Source organism: Homo sapiens, chromosome 1, assembly GCF_000001405.40.
Source record: "Homo sapiens chromosome 1, GRCh38.p14 Primary Assembly".
In the NCBI taxonomy this organism is placed as follows: domain Eukaryota; kingdom Metazoa; phylum Chordata; class Mammalia; order Primates; family Hominidae; genus Homo; species Homo sapiens.
The window spans coordinates 230,013,461-230,030,188 of record NC_000001.11 but is presented as its reverse complement, the minus strand read 5'-3'; the positions used below and the strand labels follow the sequence as shown (position 1 = coordinate 230,030,188).

The following is a 16,728-nucleotide window of genomic DNA, read 5'->3' as shown; positions in this document are numbered from 1 at the left end:
AAAGCTAACGTTAATCTGCCTTTACCTTCCTTCTGGATAACATATTGCCTCACTGCAAAAATTACTGTTTTATACCACATAGCGCTAAAATCAATTTTTCCAACCATGGTGATTGAGCCCTTCCACTATTAAATGGGCTACATTAACGGAGGTGAACAGGTTTCAATTTCCAGGCCAACATCAATCAATTTGTAATAGTCAGAGTTCTGGGAAGGATTCTAAGGCAATGTTCAGGTTCAGAAGGGGGTTTCAAAAAAAAAAGAGCCATAAGGTGTTCTGTAAGCAAAGGATGAGCCCAGTAGAAATCAGGGATTGGATCTGAGATTAATCAGGCCCGGCCAATGAAAGACTTTAGCAACCCAAAGGCTCCCCAGGGGTTTAGAGTTTCCTGGATTACTTGTAGTGCATTGCAAAGTAAACGCACATGATCTCCAAGCAGGAGGACCACCCCACGCCCAGAGGTCCATTCCTGGTGAGAAGGCACACCCCACAAATGGAGATCTGTGAGTGATGTGATACGTGTGCTTATACCAGGCTAGTCACCATCTCAATAGGGAAATGGAAAGATTTATCAGAACAGGAGAAAACCAAACAGAAAGGTGAGTGAAAACACCCAAGCAAAAAGAAATGCTCACTGCGGAGACAGCCAGGTGGGAAGGGGTCCCCAGAGAAACTCTAACCAGCCTGCACACTGGAAGGAGTGCACCCTGGAGTGGAGCCACAGAAGTTTGTGCTGTTTGACGGGGAGGAGCCCGGCCCCTCCCCTTCCTGTGTGGCACCTGCGATTCAGTTTGCGAGGTGGGAAGCACACTGACAGGGAGTCTGGCTTCGCTAAGAGTCTCTTTTTCCCCTTTATTTCATTTTTCACCCAATAAAACCCTGCCTTACTCACCCTTAAAATTGTCTGCGAGCCTAATCTTTCGTGGCCGTGGGACAAGGACCCCGTCTTTAGCTGAACTAAGGAAAAATCTCGCAACACTGCTATGAATACAATGTAGGACACTTGTCCCACTGACAAGGGTGGGAGATGCAGGGATGGGGCCCAGCCCTGAAGCGGCCTTAGAAGGCCTGGGTCTTGTTTCTTCTGATGATGAATATGTCACTGTCAGATTTCCTTAAATTACTGTGGTGTGAAGTTGACTCTGAGAAAACAAGGCTAGTTGCATGTTGAGTGACAGGTGAAAAAGAAGATAAACCCCCTGCTGGGCATAGGCTTTTAAAACTGGAGACCTGTGGTCAGGTGAAGTGGCTCATGCCTATAATCCCAGCACTCTGGGAGGCTAAGGCAGGAGGATCTCTTTTTTTTTTTTTTTTTTTTTTGAGACAGGGTCTAGTTCTGTCTCCCAGGCTGCAGCGCAGTGACGCCATCTCGGCTCACTGCTAGCTCCGCCTCCCGGGTTCCCGCCATTCGGCAGGAGGATTTCTTGAGCCCAGGAGTTTGAGACCAGCCTGGCAACACAGTGAGACCTCATCTCTACCAGAAAAAAAAAAAAAAAGAATAGCCAGACATGGTGGCGTGTGCCTGCCGTCTCAGCTACTTGGAAGGAAGGCTGAGGCAAGAGGATCACTTGAGCCCAGGAGTTGGAGGTTGCACTGAGCTATAATCACACCATTGCAATCCAGCCTGGGCAACAGAACAAGACCCTGTCTCAAAATAATTAAATACGTAAATAAAGATCAAATTGGTGACCCTTGTTTCCAGATCCAGCACTTGGGAGCCCCTGGAAGTTCCCAGGGAATGATACCTCCATTCTGTTCATTTGCTGACAAAATCATCAGCACTCTGGGACACCCAGGGCAGGGAAGAAAGTCTGATTTCTTCCCCTTCTACTCTGGAGGCCTTGAAAGCTAGAGGGAGAGACAGGTAAATAGAATGGGTTGAATACACATGGAACCTTCTAGAGAAGTAGGCTTTCTCTAGAGGCAAGGTCCATGCATGTTGAGCTCCAGTAAGACACAGGTGGATACAAACTGAGCAAGCCAGGCACTGTTTCAGGTTGCTTCTGGAAGAGACATGAGCACAAAGTGACATTTCCCCTCACCTCTCTAGGCACAAATGAAAACACTGAAGAAGAAGAAGCCAGACCTAAAAAAAAGTGAAGCTTAATTGGGGTCCGGTTCTTAATCATTCTATGGTTCAGACTCCCCTTATCACCCAAACCCCCAAGGCACCCAGTACTCTCATGTACCAAACTGAAGAAAGACCAGGATTCCTGAGCTGCTGCTCCAACTCCTTTGTGACCTAGGATGATTCTAGATAAAAATGACTGGGAGCCCCTTTTCTGAGAGGCTCACTAAAGCCAGTATAAATGAATGTCATTTTTTATGCCCTTTTCTTTCTCCTTCTCTCCATCCAGCTATAATCAAACCTGAACATCTGAGGCACATTTATTTCTGCCTTCCATCCAACTAGTGCAAAACGTCATCTAATTTAAAACTTAATCAGGTGAAGCAATTAATACAATATGGGAATCCAGGATTTCCACCCTCTGCTTCATGTACAAATAAGAATAAAATATATTTACTAGAATAATTACTAGTTTCAAAGTGTCTAATAATTACACCCAGCTGGGAGCAAACCCTTGGAGAGAAGGGAAGGTGGAATTAACTCAGGGGACAGATCAAGAATGTGCTATTGATGACCCAGTTGTCTGGGAACCATGAGGCATCTACTCACTGCTGAGAACCCCTGGCTCAGGCAGGCCTGGAGGGAAGGCAAAACTCTGGCAAGGTCACTGAGCCTGGGTCTAGGGGGACTGAGATACTCAGGGTTCTCCAGAGAAACAGAACCAATAGGATAGACATACAGATATATAAAAAGAGATGTATGATGAGGGACCGATTCATGTGATTACAGAGGCGAGAAGTCCCTTGATCTGCTGTCTGCAAGCTGGACAACCAGGAAAGCTGGTGGTGTAGTTGCAGCCCGAGTCTGAGAGCCTAAGAGCCAGGGGGCTGATGGTGAAGTCCTGGTCCTATACCAGGAGTGCTGATGTCTGAAGGCAGGAAAGGAAGGATGTCCCAGCTCAAGCAGAGAGAGCAAATTCACTCTTCCCCTGCCTTTTTGTTGGATCTGGGACCTCAAGGATTGGAGGATGCCTGCCCACATGGGTGAGGGCGATCTTTTTCATTCAGTCTGTTAGTGGCGGCAAATCCATACGGTCTGCAGCAACCTCAGTTCTTGCCTCCTCAGAAGAAAGACTGACCGAGGGGCGTAAGGCAGAGTGAGAGACTGAGGCAAGTTTTAGAGCAGGAACAAAAGGATATAAAGAACACTTGGAAGAGGGCCAAGCAAGTGACTTGAGAGATTCAAGTGCCCGGTTTGACCTTTGGCTTGGGGTTTGGTATGTTGGTACACTTCTGTGGTCTGCGTCAGTTCTCCTGGGATTCTTCCCTTGGGGTGAGCTATCTCGCATGAGCGATGGCCTGCCAGCACTGGGAGGGGCCTCATGTGCAGTGTGTTTACTGAAGTTGTACACATGCTTGCTTGAGGCATTCTTCCCTTACCAGTTGAGTGTTCCTAGAGGAAGGTCACATAGCAGTTAAACTCCACCATTTTTCCTCTTGGTGTGCATGCTTAGCCTACTCGCCCACCTCCTGAGATCTTGTCAGGAAGTGGCTGATCACCAGCTTCAGGTGTTTTCTACTTATTGGGAGACTGCTTTTCCCTGGTGCCAGCCATGCCCAAAAGTTATTTTAGAGAGACAGTTAACAACTGTCTGGCCATCACCTGATGGTTGCCTAACATTCCTGGTTGTTGGGGGGAGACTCTCCTGCCCTGCTTATGTCTGCCTAAATACCTATTGTAACAAGTCCACCAATTGAAATGCTAACTTCTTCCAGAAATACCCTCACAGACACACCCAGAAATAATGTTTTACCAGCTATCTGGGCACCCTTTGGCCCAGTCAAGTTGATGCAGAATTAATCATCACAGTGACCGTCTGTCCTTAACAGGCTTGATCTGGCAGCACTGGACCAGTGGAAGGGGCAGTGGATTTTGCCTCTGGAGGTCTGTTTCATCATCTACAGCTCCTTGTGGGAGCCTTGGTTGTCTTGTTGGGTCAATGGGGTCCCGATCTCTAACTCATCATCATTGTTATAGGTACCACTTGGGGTAACACAAGGCCAAGAACACTATAAGCTGTAAAGCAAGGCATAGATGTTATATTTATTGAGACGAATTACATAGTAAACAATTGTAGAAAATAGTGGAATAAACTAATCAACAACTTATATCATGCCAGCAAAGCACAGGGAACACAAGGACATACGAGGACACACTTGGTGGTGTGTGTAGTAACACAGGAAAGAGGTCAAAGGAGAGGTTTGGGCAATGAGTGTTGTGTGAGTTCTGAGAAGAGCTCGATGAAGTAAGAGGAGAGTAAGGATTTGGAATTAGTGAGGACAAGGAGGGAAATCTTCTAGGCAGACAGAATCACACCATTCATTCATTCATTTTCAAAATTATTTGCCCAACACATGCCTATTGTGTGTTTGATCTGTATCAGGCATAGAAGCAAATGCCTCAAGGAAAGAATATGCAGTGCATACTTGAAGCCTCTGAATAGAGCTTGGAAAGGAAAGAAAAAGAGAGACAGAGAGAAAGGCAAAGGGGAGGAGAGGAGAGAGAAAGTGAGAGAGTGAGCTAAAGGCATGCTGTGGCCAGATTGCGGCATGCTCTGCATGAAAGCATGGCTTTATTCAGTAGGTGCAGAGTCACTGCCCTTGAAGACAGACCAAGGAGAATGAATAAGTCTTTCCCTCTGTTTTCAGTGGATGCTCACCTTATGAATGGAGCCATATTTAAGGAGCAGATTAGGAGGCATTGAACAGCAGACTGCCCAGATCAGAGATGCTTTTTAAGTTCTAGGAGCCTGTGAGCTTCCAGAGCTGTGCCAGTTCCAGGCATCTGAATTACAAAAGGACATGGCTGGCTCAAACCTGGTCCCTGCCTCTATGACCCGCAGTTCCTTTACATGCAGGGAAGTCCTATTCCTAGCTCCCTGAAGCCTTTGACTGTTCAAAGCCCCTTAGGATGCAGAAGATTCCTGGGAATAAAATGCATCCATCCTGGGAGAGGTCCATAGGGGAGCCACTTTGTTGTGAGGCAAAACACAAGGCCCTGATGGATGGCTGGGCCAGGGAGTGTCACCTGCAGCTAAGGAGCCAGTGATGTGGAGGAGGGGCTTTCATCACACTTGCTTCCAATGTGTTCTGAGTGCGCAAGGAAGATGATTACAAACCCAAGCCTTTATTATGTTTTCATCCTCCCCACATACTGCTGGGTAGAAGGTTGGTTGCATGAACTGTGTGATGGTAGAGATGGCCTGAGGCTGGCAGGGAATCTGGTGGCCTGGTTTCTATTGCTGCTCTCTTACTGGCTGGTCATAGGACTTTGAGAAGTCACTTGGTCTGTCTGAATCTCGGTTCACTCGCTTATAAACTGAATGTTTTGGGATTAGAGCTGTGGTCCTCACCTGGAAGGTGGGTGTTAGCAGATAGCTACATCAGCTTCCTAGGGGAAATGGAAAGTTAAGTATATGGACTGAATGATCATGTGCCCCCAAAAGTCACATGTTGAAATCCTACGCCCCAAGGTCATTGTATTAGTCCATTTGCATTGTTATAAAGAATACCTAGGTAATTTATAAAGCAAAGGGGCTTATTTAGCTCACAGTTCTGTAGGCTGTATAGAAAGCATAGTGCAGCATCTGCTGCTGGTGAGGCTTCAGGAAGCTTACAATCATAGTGGAAGGGGAAGAGGAGCTAATATATCACATGGCGAGAGAGAGAGGGAGAGCGAGAGCAAGAGGGAAGGGAAAGAGAGAGAAAGGAGGTGCCAGGCTCTTTTAAGCAACCAGATTTCACATAAACTCATAGAATGAGAACTCACTCATTACTGTGGGGAAAGCACCCAGCTGTTTACGAGGGATCCGCCCTCATGACCCAGACATCTCCTGTTAGGCCCACCTGCCAAATCGGAGATCACATTTCAACATGAGATTTGGACGGGGCAAAACATCTAAACCATATCAGTGACAGTATTAGGAGGTAAGGTCTTCGGGAGTTTACTAGGACAGGAGGGTGGAGCCCTCATGAGTGGGATTAGTGCCCTTATAAAAGGGACCTCAGAGAGCTCTTCCACCATGTGAAGACACAGCAGGAAGGTACCATCCATGAACCGGGAAGTGGTCCTCACCAGACACTGAATCTGCTGGCACTTTGATCTAGGGCTTCTCAGCCTCCAGTAAGAAATATCTGTTGTTGATAAGTTGCCAGTCTATGATATTTTGTTATAACAGCCTGAATAGACCAAGGTAGTAGGCGTATGTAAATTTAAAATCCCACTCTGGAATTTTGATGGTATTGGCTTCACCTCTCTGGCAACCCCCTACTCAACTCACTAACTCCTCCCACCTAAGGTTGAATGGGGATGTTGCTAGAAATGGCTGTTGGCTGGATGAAAGTTGGAAAGTTAGGGCCCTCAGGAGACTGGCCCCCTCACCCTGATGTCCTGAAATCCATCACTGACTTTTTAAATGCCAGGCCTGGTTCATACCTGATTGTTATCATCCCTAAGGCAAGTGAAGCAGAATTGATCTCCTGTCTCCATGGAAGAAGGAAATCAACAAAGGAGGGAAATTTTACAGGAAATAGCTAAATCTTTAGTCTGTGAGGATGCTGAAATACAAGCCATTAATTCCCAAATTTCAGCATGTCTCCATAAAGTTGTAAATGAAGCAATTACATGGATTGCCCAGACACTAAACTGAAAATTCCAGAAACTTCTACCATAAGAATGTTTTATGGAAATGAGAGTGAGAGGGGAAGTTTTAGACTCTGGCCTCCTCTCAGGCTTTGATTCCAGTTTTCCCTTTTCAAGCTCTCACCCATGTGTGGTCCATGCTTGCCCAGCCCCTCCCCTTCCTCCACCGGCCTCTTCCTTCTCCCAACGTGATCCATTATTGAAGCCACGCTTCTCTACCCTGTCCTTTTTGCTCTCACCTCCCTTCCTATCTGCTGTTCACCTGCCCTGCCTGGGGGACCAAAGGCTTTATCCCAGTGCCACTGTGCACTGCTGGGGAAAAGGACTCAAGCTAAAATGAAACAGTGCCTTATCAGATTTTGAGAGGCCTGCTCTTCCTGTTTCTAATCATTCCTCTAGCACCTTCCCATCCGTATTTCCAGACTTCATCACGTTTCTCAAACCTCCTTCTGCTACCTTCACAGAACAGCCTTGCCTCTTACTCCATAAAGAAAGCAGAGCCTGTTTGCAAGCAGCATCCTCCTTCCCTTGGCTCCCCAAAGAAACCAGCCCCCCACTTGGTCTCCTTTCCTGCCTCAGGGCATGGTGTCCTCCGGTCTAGCTCTGACCCCTCTTTCTCTTGCCACCTTGGGAGCCTGAGCTGTGGATTATCTCCTGCCCTGCCTTGGTATGGCCACCTCCTCCCCTTCCTGCCAGTTGGTAAGCAGGAGGGAGGGAGACAACAGAGGAAAATGGCCCCTCATGGTCCAGCCCCAAAAGAAAACAGCTGCAAGAGAAACCAAGTTTTCTTTCCTTCATATTCGTAGTGTAATTTTATTCATTGAGGCTGTATTTCTCTCTATTTTATCAAAGATTCCTTTTTTATTATCCTTGCTTGGCATGAGGATGGATTCAGTACATCCCCAGGGCATAGTAGAAAGAAAGAAAACTCTGCCCTATGCTAGAGAAATCTCTCCAGTATCATTGGAAAATAACCCTCTGATCCTGTTAGTCTGCCCATAGCATGCACTCTCCCCTTCCTTCCCTTCCTCTCCGCCTTCCAGATGGAAAAGTGACCACATCTGCTATCCTTTGCTCTTGCTCGGTCCACATCTGCTCCTCACCAGCCCATAGTACTCTGCCTTTGGACATTCCTCTAAAATGGTCCTACCCAAGGTTCTTGGTGCCCTCCAGTTGTTAAATCCAATGTAGTTTTGATTTTCTTTTTTTTTGCTTACTATTCCAGAGAACATCTCTTCCAGCTCCCAGGCCACAGCCATCCTCCTTTTCCTCTCATTTATGAGCTGTTCCTTCCTGGAATTCTCTGCACAATCTTCTTTATCCTCTACCTCTTAGAAGTGAATATTTCTTGTCTACCTTCATGACCCCAGCTACCATCTATTTCCTTACAGTTTTCCAAACCTCAGTGTATTACCTGGAACCTTCTTATAGAACGCAAGGCTCAAACTGCTCACTGCTTACTAAATCTTCAATCAAATGTCTATCAAGCACTTCAACCTCAATCAGTACCCTCTTCTTTAAGTATTTTCTGTCTTAGCCCATTTTGTATTGCTGTAACAGAATGCTTGAGGCCAGGTAATTTATTTTAAAGTGGTTTCTTTTTTTCTTTTCTTTTCTTTTTTTTTTTAAGATGGTCTCTGCCACCCAAGCTGGAGTGCTTAGCTCACTGCAACCTCTGCCTTCCAGGTTCAAGTGATTCTTGACTTCAGCCTCCCGAGTAGCTGGAATAGTATAGACATGTACTACCACATCCGGCTAATTTTTGTATTTTTAGTAAAGACAGGGTTTTGCCATGTTGGCCAGGCTGGTCTTGAACTCTTGACCTCGTGATTCACCTGCCTCAGCCTCCCAAATTGCTGGGATTACAGGTGTGAGCTACTGCACCCAGCCAATATTTTTATCTGTTAATGAATGCTTCCATCATACATGTGATTACAAAGGCAACTTCCTTTTATCTACACTGCACCTGCCTCCTTTGAGGCCTCATCACTGTCTCCTGCAACATATTCTATTCTAACTTGGGTCAATATAAAATCCAAATCTCTCTGCAGGGCCAAGAGGCTATTCATGATCTGAACAAGAAGAAAAGACAGGAGACCCCATGATACCCAAACCAGGCAGTCAACTTTTGGTCCAAGTTGTCTAGAAACAAAATCAAGAGTCTACAGAGTTTGGTTTTGTTTTTTTAAATAAAGGAGATAAGTAAGATATAGAAAATCCATAACAACCAGGGGACAAGACTGGGCCTTGGAAGAATGCAGGAATGAGTGGGGCACAGAGGTTTTTGGGGCAGACTCAGCATATGTGAGTATGTGGCTGTTTTCCTCCAAAGTATCTGCTCCAATGGCTCATATTCTCCCATTGAGGTTGCTCTTTTGAATTCAATGGCTTTTTCCTGGAAAGTCTTCTATTGCCTTGTATCTGTGTAACACAGCCCTCTTTCACTGTGTGTTTAATAAATACGTACTATTTGAATGAAATGATGGCTGTGTCTCCTGGAATTAGATGTTATAGTAACATAATTTTATCCAACAAGAAACTAACCTGGATGAATTTACACTAGAAATCAGAGAGCAGGCAAGCAGTGGGACGAAGATCATAGAACTTTTATGGGGGGATGCAGGGGTGGGTTGGGGTAAAGAGTAGGAAGATCCACAACAAGGTGGGATTCTAGGGAACAAGTTTGGTACTGGAGGCCTTGCCTGGTCTCATTTCACCCTACGCTCACCAGCACACCAAGGACAGCAAGACCACAGGGCATCTTCTCCCTGCTCCAGTCACACTGGCTTGATGGTTCCAGGAGCCTACCAGGCTGCTCGATCCTCTGGATCTTTGAACATGGCACCTCCAGCATTAGGAGAGCTCTTCAACCTTGCTAGGACTCTTGGTGACATCCTCTCCTCCTTCAAGACTCAGCCTAGAGAGCATCTCCTTGGGGAAGGCAATGGTCAGGGAAGGGTTTTCCATTGGTTTCTTTCAAAGAACGACTCATACTTTATAATTGTCATGTCAGCTGTGGTTCCCTACAAAACAAAGTGATGCAAGGATCTAGTGCCAGTGCTTTATTCAGGAGGTCTGACCTGCATGATGGGGAGAGAGGAGTCGTTGTGCACAGTGATGGGCTGCTCTGTTGGCTCCTGCTTCCTCATGTGCTTCGAGGGACACAGCTGGTCACCGGGCAGGAGCGTCCACACGCCACCTGGCACAGCTTGGACAGGATTCCCTGAGATGACTGCAGAGAACAATCACAGGGAAGCAGAGGGCATGTGTCTCCTCTCCTGCTCTGCTTCACTCCCTGGGTTTTGTTAGCTCACCCCTTGGAAGTCGGATGTCAAGACCAGAATGACGGCATTTTAACTAAAGTCTGGAAATGTCTACAGGAGACATCCACTCAGAGCACGTGGCTGGCTGGCAGCCAGAGGACAGACACCCACATTCTCAGGACAGGTGACAGGTCAGCCCCAGGAGCAGAACTGCATGGGCCTAAGAGGGTCCAGCTGGCCATGGCAGTGGCAGAGGTGAAGCAAGCTGCACAAGGCTCAGGAGATGCTGGTGCCAAGAGATGTGAAGATACTTCTGACACGGCAGTTCCTACATGGATCACACCTACTGGTCGCCCGTTGGACCAGAAGCATCTTGGAGGTAGAGACCTTGCCTGCCTGTTTTAATAATGTGTCCACAGCTTCCAGGTAATACACTGAGGTTTGGAAAATTTTAAGGAAATAGATGGTAGCTGGGGTCATGAAAGTAGACAAGAAATATTCACTTCTAAGGGGGCAGAAGGAGAAAGAAGATTGTACAGGTCCAGGAGAACATCTGGCACAAAGTAGGTGTTGAACACTTGCCTTGATGCACCAAGTTCATATGTGACAAATGCTGCTAAGCTTCCCCGAGTGTCACCAAGTAAATTGCTCATGCCTCGTGTTCCCCAAGTGATTTGGTTCACCTTTGTCTGCACGACAAGTTGGCAGCTAGGCTGTGAAGACCCAGAGGGTGCAGAGCATTTCTTTCCACCTTTGTTTTCTTAGTTCCTAGTTCAGCACCTGGCATATAGTAGATACTCCACAAATATTTGTTGGAATTCATGCAGGATTGAGGTATGGATGCAACCCGAAGAGGTGGGGGACTGGACTGCAATTATTTTTTTGCTGGGCTCACGTGACTTGCAAGACACTTTCCTGTGCTGCTTGTTAAGAAATGTGTACAACGTACAATGTCATACTCCTAGCTATTTGAAACCATTTATTAACTATAGTCATCTGACAGTGGTATAGGACACCAGAACTTATTTCTCCTATCTAGCTATAATTTTGTATGTTCCCCAAGCAAAGAAATGATAACTGTTTTAGGTGATGGATATGCTAATTATCCTGATCTACCGCTATACATTGAGTGTATCGAAACATCACTATGTACTCCATGAATATGTACAATTATTATTTGTCAGTTAAACCAAAACAGCATGGTACTGGTACAAAAACAGGCACACAGACCAATGGAACAGAATAGAGAGCCCAGAAATAAGGCCACACACCTACAACCATCTGATCTTTGACAAGGCTGACAAAGACAAGCAATGGAGAAAAGACTTCCTATTCAATAAATGGTGCTGGGATAACTGGCTAGCCATATGTGGAAGATTGGAGCTGGACCCTTCCTTATACCATATAAGAAAATCAACTCAAGATGGATTCAAGATTTAAATGTAAAATCCAAAACTATAAAAACCCTGAAAGACAACCTAGGCAATACCTTTCATGTGTGTCCGTGTGAAGAGACCACCAAAGAGGCTTTGTGTGAGCAACATGGCTGTTTACTTCACCTGGGTGCAGGCGGGCTGAGTCCGAAAAGAGAGTCAGCGAAGGGAGATGGGCTGGGGCTGTTTTATAGGATTTGGGAAGGTAAAGGGAAAAGGGGGGTTGTTCTCTGGCGGGCAGGCGTGGGGGTCACAAGGTACTCAGTGGGGGAGCTTTTGAGCCAGGATGAGCCAGGAGAAGGAATTTCACAAGACAATGTCTTCAGTTAAGGCAGGAACAGGCCATTTTCACTTCTTTTGTGGTGGAATGTCATCAGTTAAGGCAGGAACTGGCCATCTGGATGTGTACGTGCAGGTCACAGGGGATATGATGGCTTAGCTTGGGCTCAGAGGCCTGACAATACCATTCCGGAACATAGGAGTGGGCAAGGATTTCATGACAAAGACACAACAAAAGCAATCACAACAAAAGCGAAAATTGACAAGTGGGATCCAATTAGATTTAGGAGCTTCTGCACAGCAAAAGAAACTATCAAAGTAAACAGATAACCTACAGAATGGGAGAAAATATTGGGAAACTATGTATCTGACAAAGGTCTAATATCCAGCATCTATAAGGAACTTAAACAAATTTATAAGAGAAAAACAAACAACCCTATTAAAAAGTAGGCAAAATGCATGAACAGATACTTCTCAAAGGAAGACATACACGCAGCCCACAAGCATATAAAGGAAAGCTCAATATCACTGATCATTAGAGCAATGCAAATTGAAACCACAATGAGATACCTTAAACCATTCAGAATTGCTATTATTAAAAAGTCAAAAAACAACATATGCTGGTGAGGTTGAGGAGAAAATTGAACGCTTTTACACTGTTACTGGGAGGGAAGTTCATTCAGCTGTTGTGGAAGACAGTATGGCAATTCCTCAAAGACCTAAAGGCAGAAACACCATTCAACCCAGCAATTTCATTACTGGGTATATACCCAGAGGAATAAAAATCATTCTTCCGTAAAGACCCATGCACGTTTATGTTCATTGCAGCACTATTCATGAAAGCAAAGACATGCAATCTACCTAAGTGTCCATTAATGACAGATTGGATAAATAAAATGTGGTATATATACACCATGGAGTACTATGCAGCCATAAAAGAGAATGAGATCCTAACCTTTGCAGGAACACGGATGGAGCTGGAGGCCGTTATCCTTAGCAAACTAACAGAGGAACAGAAAACGAAATACCTCGTATTCTCCCTTACAAATGGGAGCTAAATGATGAGAACTTATGAACACAAAAAAGGAAACAGCAGACACTGGGGCCTACCTGAGGCTGGAGGGCGGGAGGGGGGAGAGGAGCAGAAAAGATAACTATTGGCTACTGGGCTTAATACCTGGGTGATGAAACAATCTGTACAACAAATCCCTGTGAAATGAGTTTACCTGTGTAACAAACCTTCACATGTGCCCCCAAACCTAAAATAAAAGTTAAAAAAATTATTCGTCAATTTAAAAAATTTTTAAATATTTTTTTAAAAACCAGGCTGGGCATGGTGGCTCATGCGTAATCCCAGCATTTTTGGAGGCCAAGGCAGGTGGATTGCATGAGCCCAGGAATTCGAGACCAGCCTAGGCAACACGGCAAAACCCCATTTGTACAAAAGGTACAAAAATTAGCCAGGTATGGTGAGGCCTGTGGTCCCAGCCACTAGGGAGGCTGAGGTGGGAAGATTGCTTGAGCCCAGGAGTTCAAGGCTGCAGTGAGCCATGATCATGCTACTCCACTCCAGCCTGGGCAACAAATTGTGACCCTGTCTCAAATAATAAATGAATAAATAAATAAAAAAGGAAAAAAAAAGAAAAAAGAAATATGTACAGCAAAACCAAGACACCCTCGACCCACAAACTACCAACTCATTTATTCATTTCTCACTTGTGACAAGGACTTTCTTTTCTGGCACTATTCTGGATTAGATAACCTGAAAACTTTCTTGTTTGTAGAATACCTAGAAGTAATGATCAACATGTAACAATTGATTTTTTGAAATGCACAGCTAAGCTTTTAAGAAAGTAAGGACACTCCTCAGCAGCAAAAACAAATAGTGATAGTTATCCCTCGTTACTCACAGATTCCATGTTGCTCATTTGCCTACTTGCTAAAATTGATTTGTAACCCCAAGATTAATTACTTGCAGTACTTTCACAGTCATTAGCAGCCATGCACAGAGTGGTGAAAAATCTCAGTGGCCGGATGAGAAGCTTCCAGCTGAGGTGGAATGAGGCAATAATCTGCCTTCTTGTTTCAGCTTTCAGGCTGCAAACAAGCGTTCTTGTGGTGGTGTATTTAATGCCACGCTTTCCACATTTCTGTGCTTTTTGTTTGTGACTTTGCTGTTGAAATGGCCTCCAAGGATAGTGTTGAAGTGCTGTCCAGCTTTCCTATGCACTGCAAGGCTGTGATGTGCCTTGTGGAGAAAATACACGGTAGAGAAGTTTCCTTTATGCATAAGGTGTAGTGCCATTGGCTCTGAATTCGGTGGTAAAAAATCAAAAATAACATCAAAAGTATATCGCTTAATGATGTGCATTGCTTAATGATGAAGATACGTTCTGAGAAATGTGCTTTTAGATGTGCTTTTGTTGTATGAACAGCACAGAGTGTACTTACACCAAGCTAGACAGTGCAGCCTACTACATACCTAGGCTATATGGTATAGCCTATCGCTCCCAGCCTCCAAATCTGTGTAGTGTGACTTTACTGAACACTGTAGGCAACTGTAACACCATGGTAAATATTTGTATATCTAAACATGGGAAAGGTACAGTAAAAATATGGCTATAAAAGATGAAAAATAGTACGCTGTCTAGGGCACTTACCATGAATGGAGCTTGTGGGACTGGAAGTTGCCCTGAATGAGTCCGTGAGTGAGTGGTGAGTGAATGGGAAGGCCCAGGACACTACCACACACTACTGTAGACTTTATAAACCCTTTATATTTAGGCTACACTAAATTTATATTTTAAAAACTTTTCTTTCTTCAATAATAAATTAACCTCAGCTTACTGTAAGTTTTTTACTTTGGAAACTTCCAAATTTTTAAACTTTTTGAATCTTTTGTAATAACACAACTGAAAACACAAACACACTGTACAGTTGTACAAAATCTTTTATATACTTATTCTATAAGATTATTTCTATTTAAAATTTTTAAAAACTTTAAAAAAATTATGTTAAAAACTGGGCCGGATGTGGTGGCTCATGCCTGTAATCTCAGCACTCTGGGAGGCCGAGACAGGTGAATCACCTGAGGTCAGAAGTTCGAGACAAGCCTGGCCAACATGGTGAAACCCCATCTCTACTAAAAATACAAAAATTAGCCAGGCATGGTGGCAGGCACCTGTAGTCCCAGCTACTTGGAAGGCTGAGGCATGAGAATCGCTTGAACCCAGGAAGTAGAGGTTGCAGTGAGCTGAGATCATGCCACTGTACTCCAGCCTGGGCAACAGGGCGAGACTGTGTCTCAAAAAAACAAAAACAAACAAACAAAAAAACTAAGACACAGACACACACATTAGCCTAGGCCCACACAAGGTGAAGATCATCAATATCCCTGCCTTCCACCTCCACATCTTGTCCCACTGGAAGTGCTTCAGGGGCAATAACATAATACTATCTCCTATGGTAACAAGGCCTCCTTTTGGAACATTTCCTGGAGGACCTGCCTGAGGCTTTTATTGGGATGTCACGCTTTTCAGACATATATGGCCATGGTGATTTGCTTGGTTTCTTGCTTTCTTTCTTAATCATAGATTTGCTTGTAAGGAGATAGTGCATCATGAACATTCCTGTCTACTAATGAAAACTTTCCAGTGTTGGGGTTAATGTTTTCAACTTTTTAAGGAGCTTGTTGGGATCTGCAAATGCTTCTGCTAAACCCTGCACTGAATTTTTGTGGGTGTTTTCCTTCTTGTTCTTCTACTGATTCCTTTTACTTGACTTTTCTTCAGATATGTGTTCCTGTTCCAGCTCCAACAACTCCTCAGTAGTCAATTGCTCAGGGTGATGTCATGGGGCAATAGGAATTTCTCAGCTCTATTATAATGTTATGGGACACTGTCATATATATGGTCCATCGTTGGCTGAAATGTCATTACATAGCTCATGACTGTGCAGTCAAACCAAAAAACACACACAGAACAAGGTTATGTATTGATCGGTTGGTGAAAATGTTGTCACTGAAGATTTGTAGAAATCTAACCCTATATTTCCACCAGGAGCATGTTTCTGTATTTCTTGATTCAATATCTGAGGTGGCTTTATGGAACATAACTACTGAAAATTATGAGAATCCACCTTATCTATTAATGGAAGTTCCAGTACAGAATAGAGAGAATGGGAGAAGATTAATATTTGAAGGAAAATGGCTAAGAACTTTCTAGAATGGATTTCAGACACAAATCTTCAGATTCATGAAGTGCAATGCATCCCAAGAAACATGAATAAAAGTAAACCCACATGTAGATTCATCAGTGAACCTACAGAATACTCAAAAGAAAGATCTTAAAAACAACCACAGAGAAAAAGATGGCATAAAAAGTAAATGCTATTAGATACACTGGAATTTCATTTCAAAATAAATGATATCCTAGAATTCTATGGCAATATAAACATTATTCAAGAATCAGAGGAAAACAAATGTATTTTCAAACAAGGATTAAAATAATTTTTGGCTAGCAGAACCACACTGAAAGAACTACTAAGTGTGTATTTCAGGAGTAAGGAGACTGAACCCAGAAGGAAAGAGTGGGCTGCAAGGAAGGAGGGTGAAGAAGGAAATTCATAAACACAGGAGTAAATCTACAGAGATGTTGACAGTTTAAAACAAACCTAGATAGGGTTTGAGCAATATTCTCAACCTTCATCCATTCAACCAATATTTATCAAGCATTCAAAATGTGCCAGCAATGGTTTTACATGCTGGTAATATAGTGGTGAATTTAAAAAAAAATGTTTTAAATGCCTGCTTTTATGAAGTTTATAAATAAATAAGTAAACTATTTAGTATGCCATATAATGACACATGCAGTGGAGAAAAATGAAGCAGGGGCGGGGGATAAGGAGGGTTGGAAGGGAGGACAGGAATAAATAAAGCTCTGCCCTTACAGTGTGAGTCTAGACAACTAAATGGATAATTGAACTT

The 16,728-nt window shown here is 44.1% G+C and overlaps 2 annotated features.

Annotated features, from left to right (window-relative positions):
- Positions 9,463-9,963: an enhancer, noted in NCBI's record as "H3K27ac hESC enhancer chr1:230155973-230156473 (GRCh37/hg19 assembly coordinates)". NCBI's record gives its function as "activates a minimal SCP1, AML or CMV promoter by ChIP-STARR-seq in naive H9 embryonic stem cells {active_cell/tissue: H9 hESC(naive)}" and the evidence as "EXISTENCE:reporter gene assay evidence [ECO:0000049][PMID:30033119]".
- Positions 11,530-12,101: an enhancer, noted in NCBI's record as "OCT4-NANOG hESC enhancer chr1:230153835-230154406 (GRCh37/hg19 assembly coordinates)". NCBI's record gives its function as "activates a minimal SCP1, AML or CMV promoter by ChIP-STARR-seq in naive and primed H9 embryonic stem cells {active_cell/tissue: H9 hESC(naive and primed)}" and the evidence as "EXISTENCE:reporter gene assay evidence [ECO:0000049][PMID:30033119]".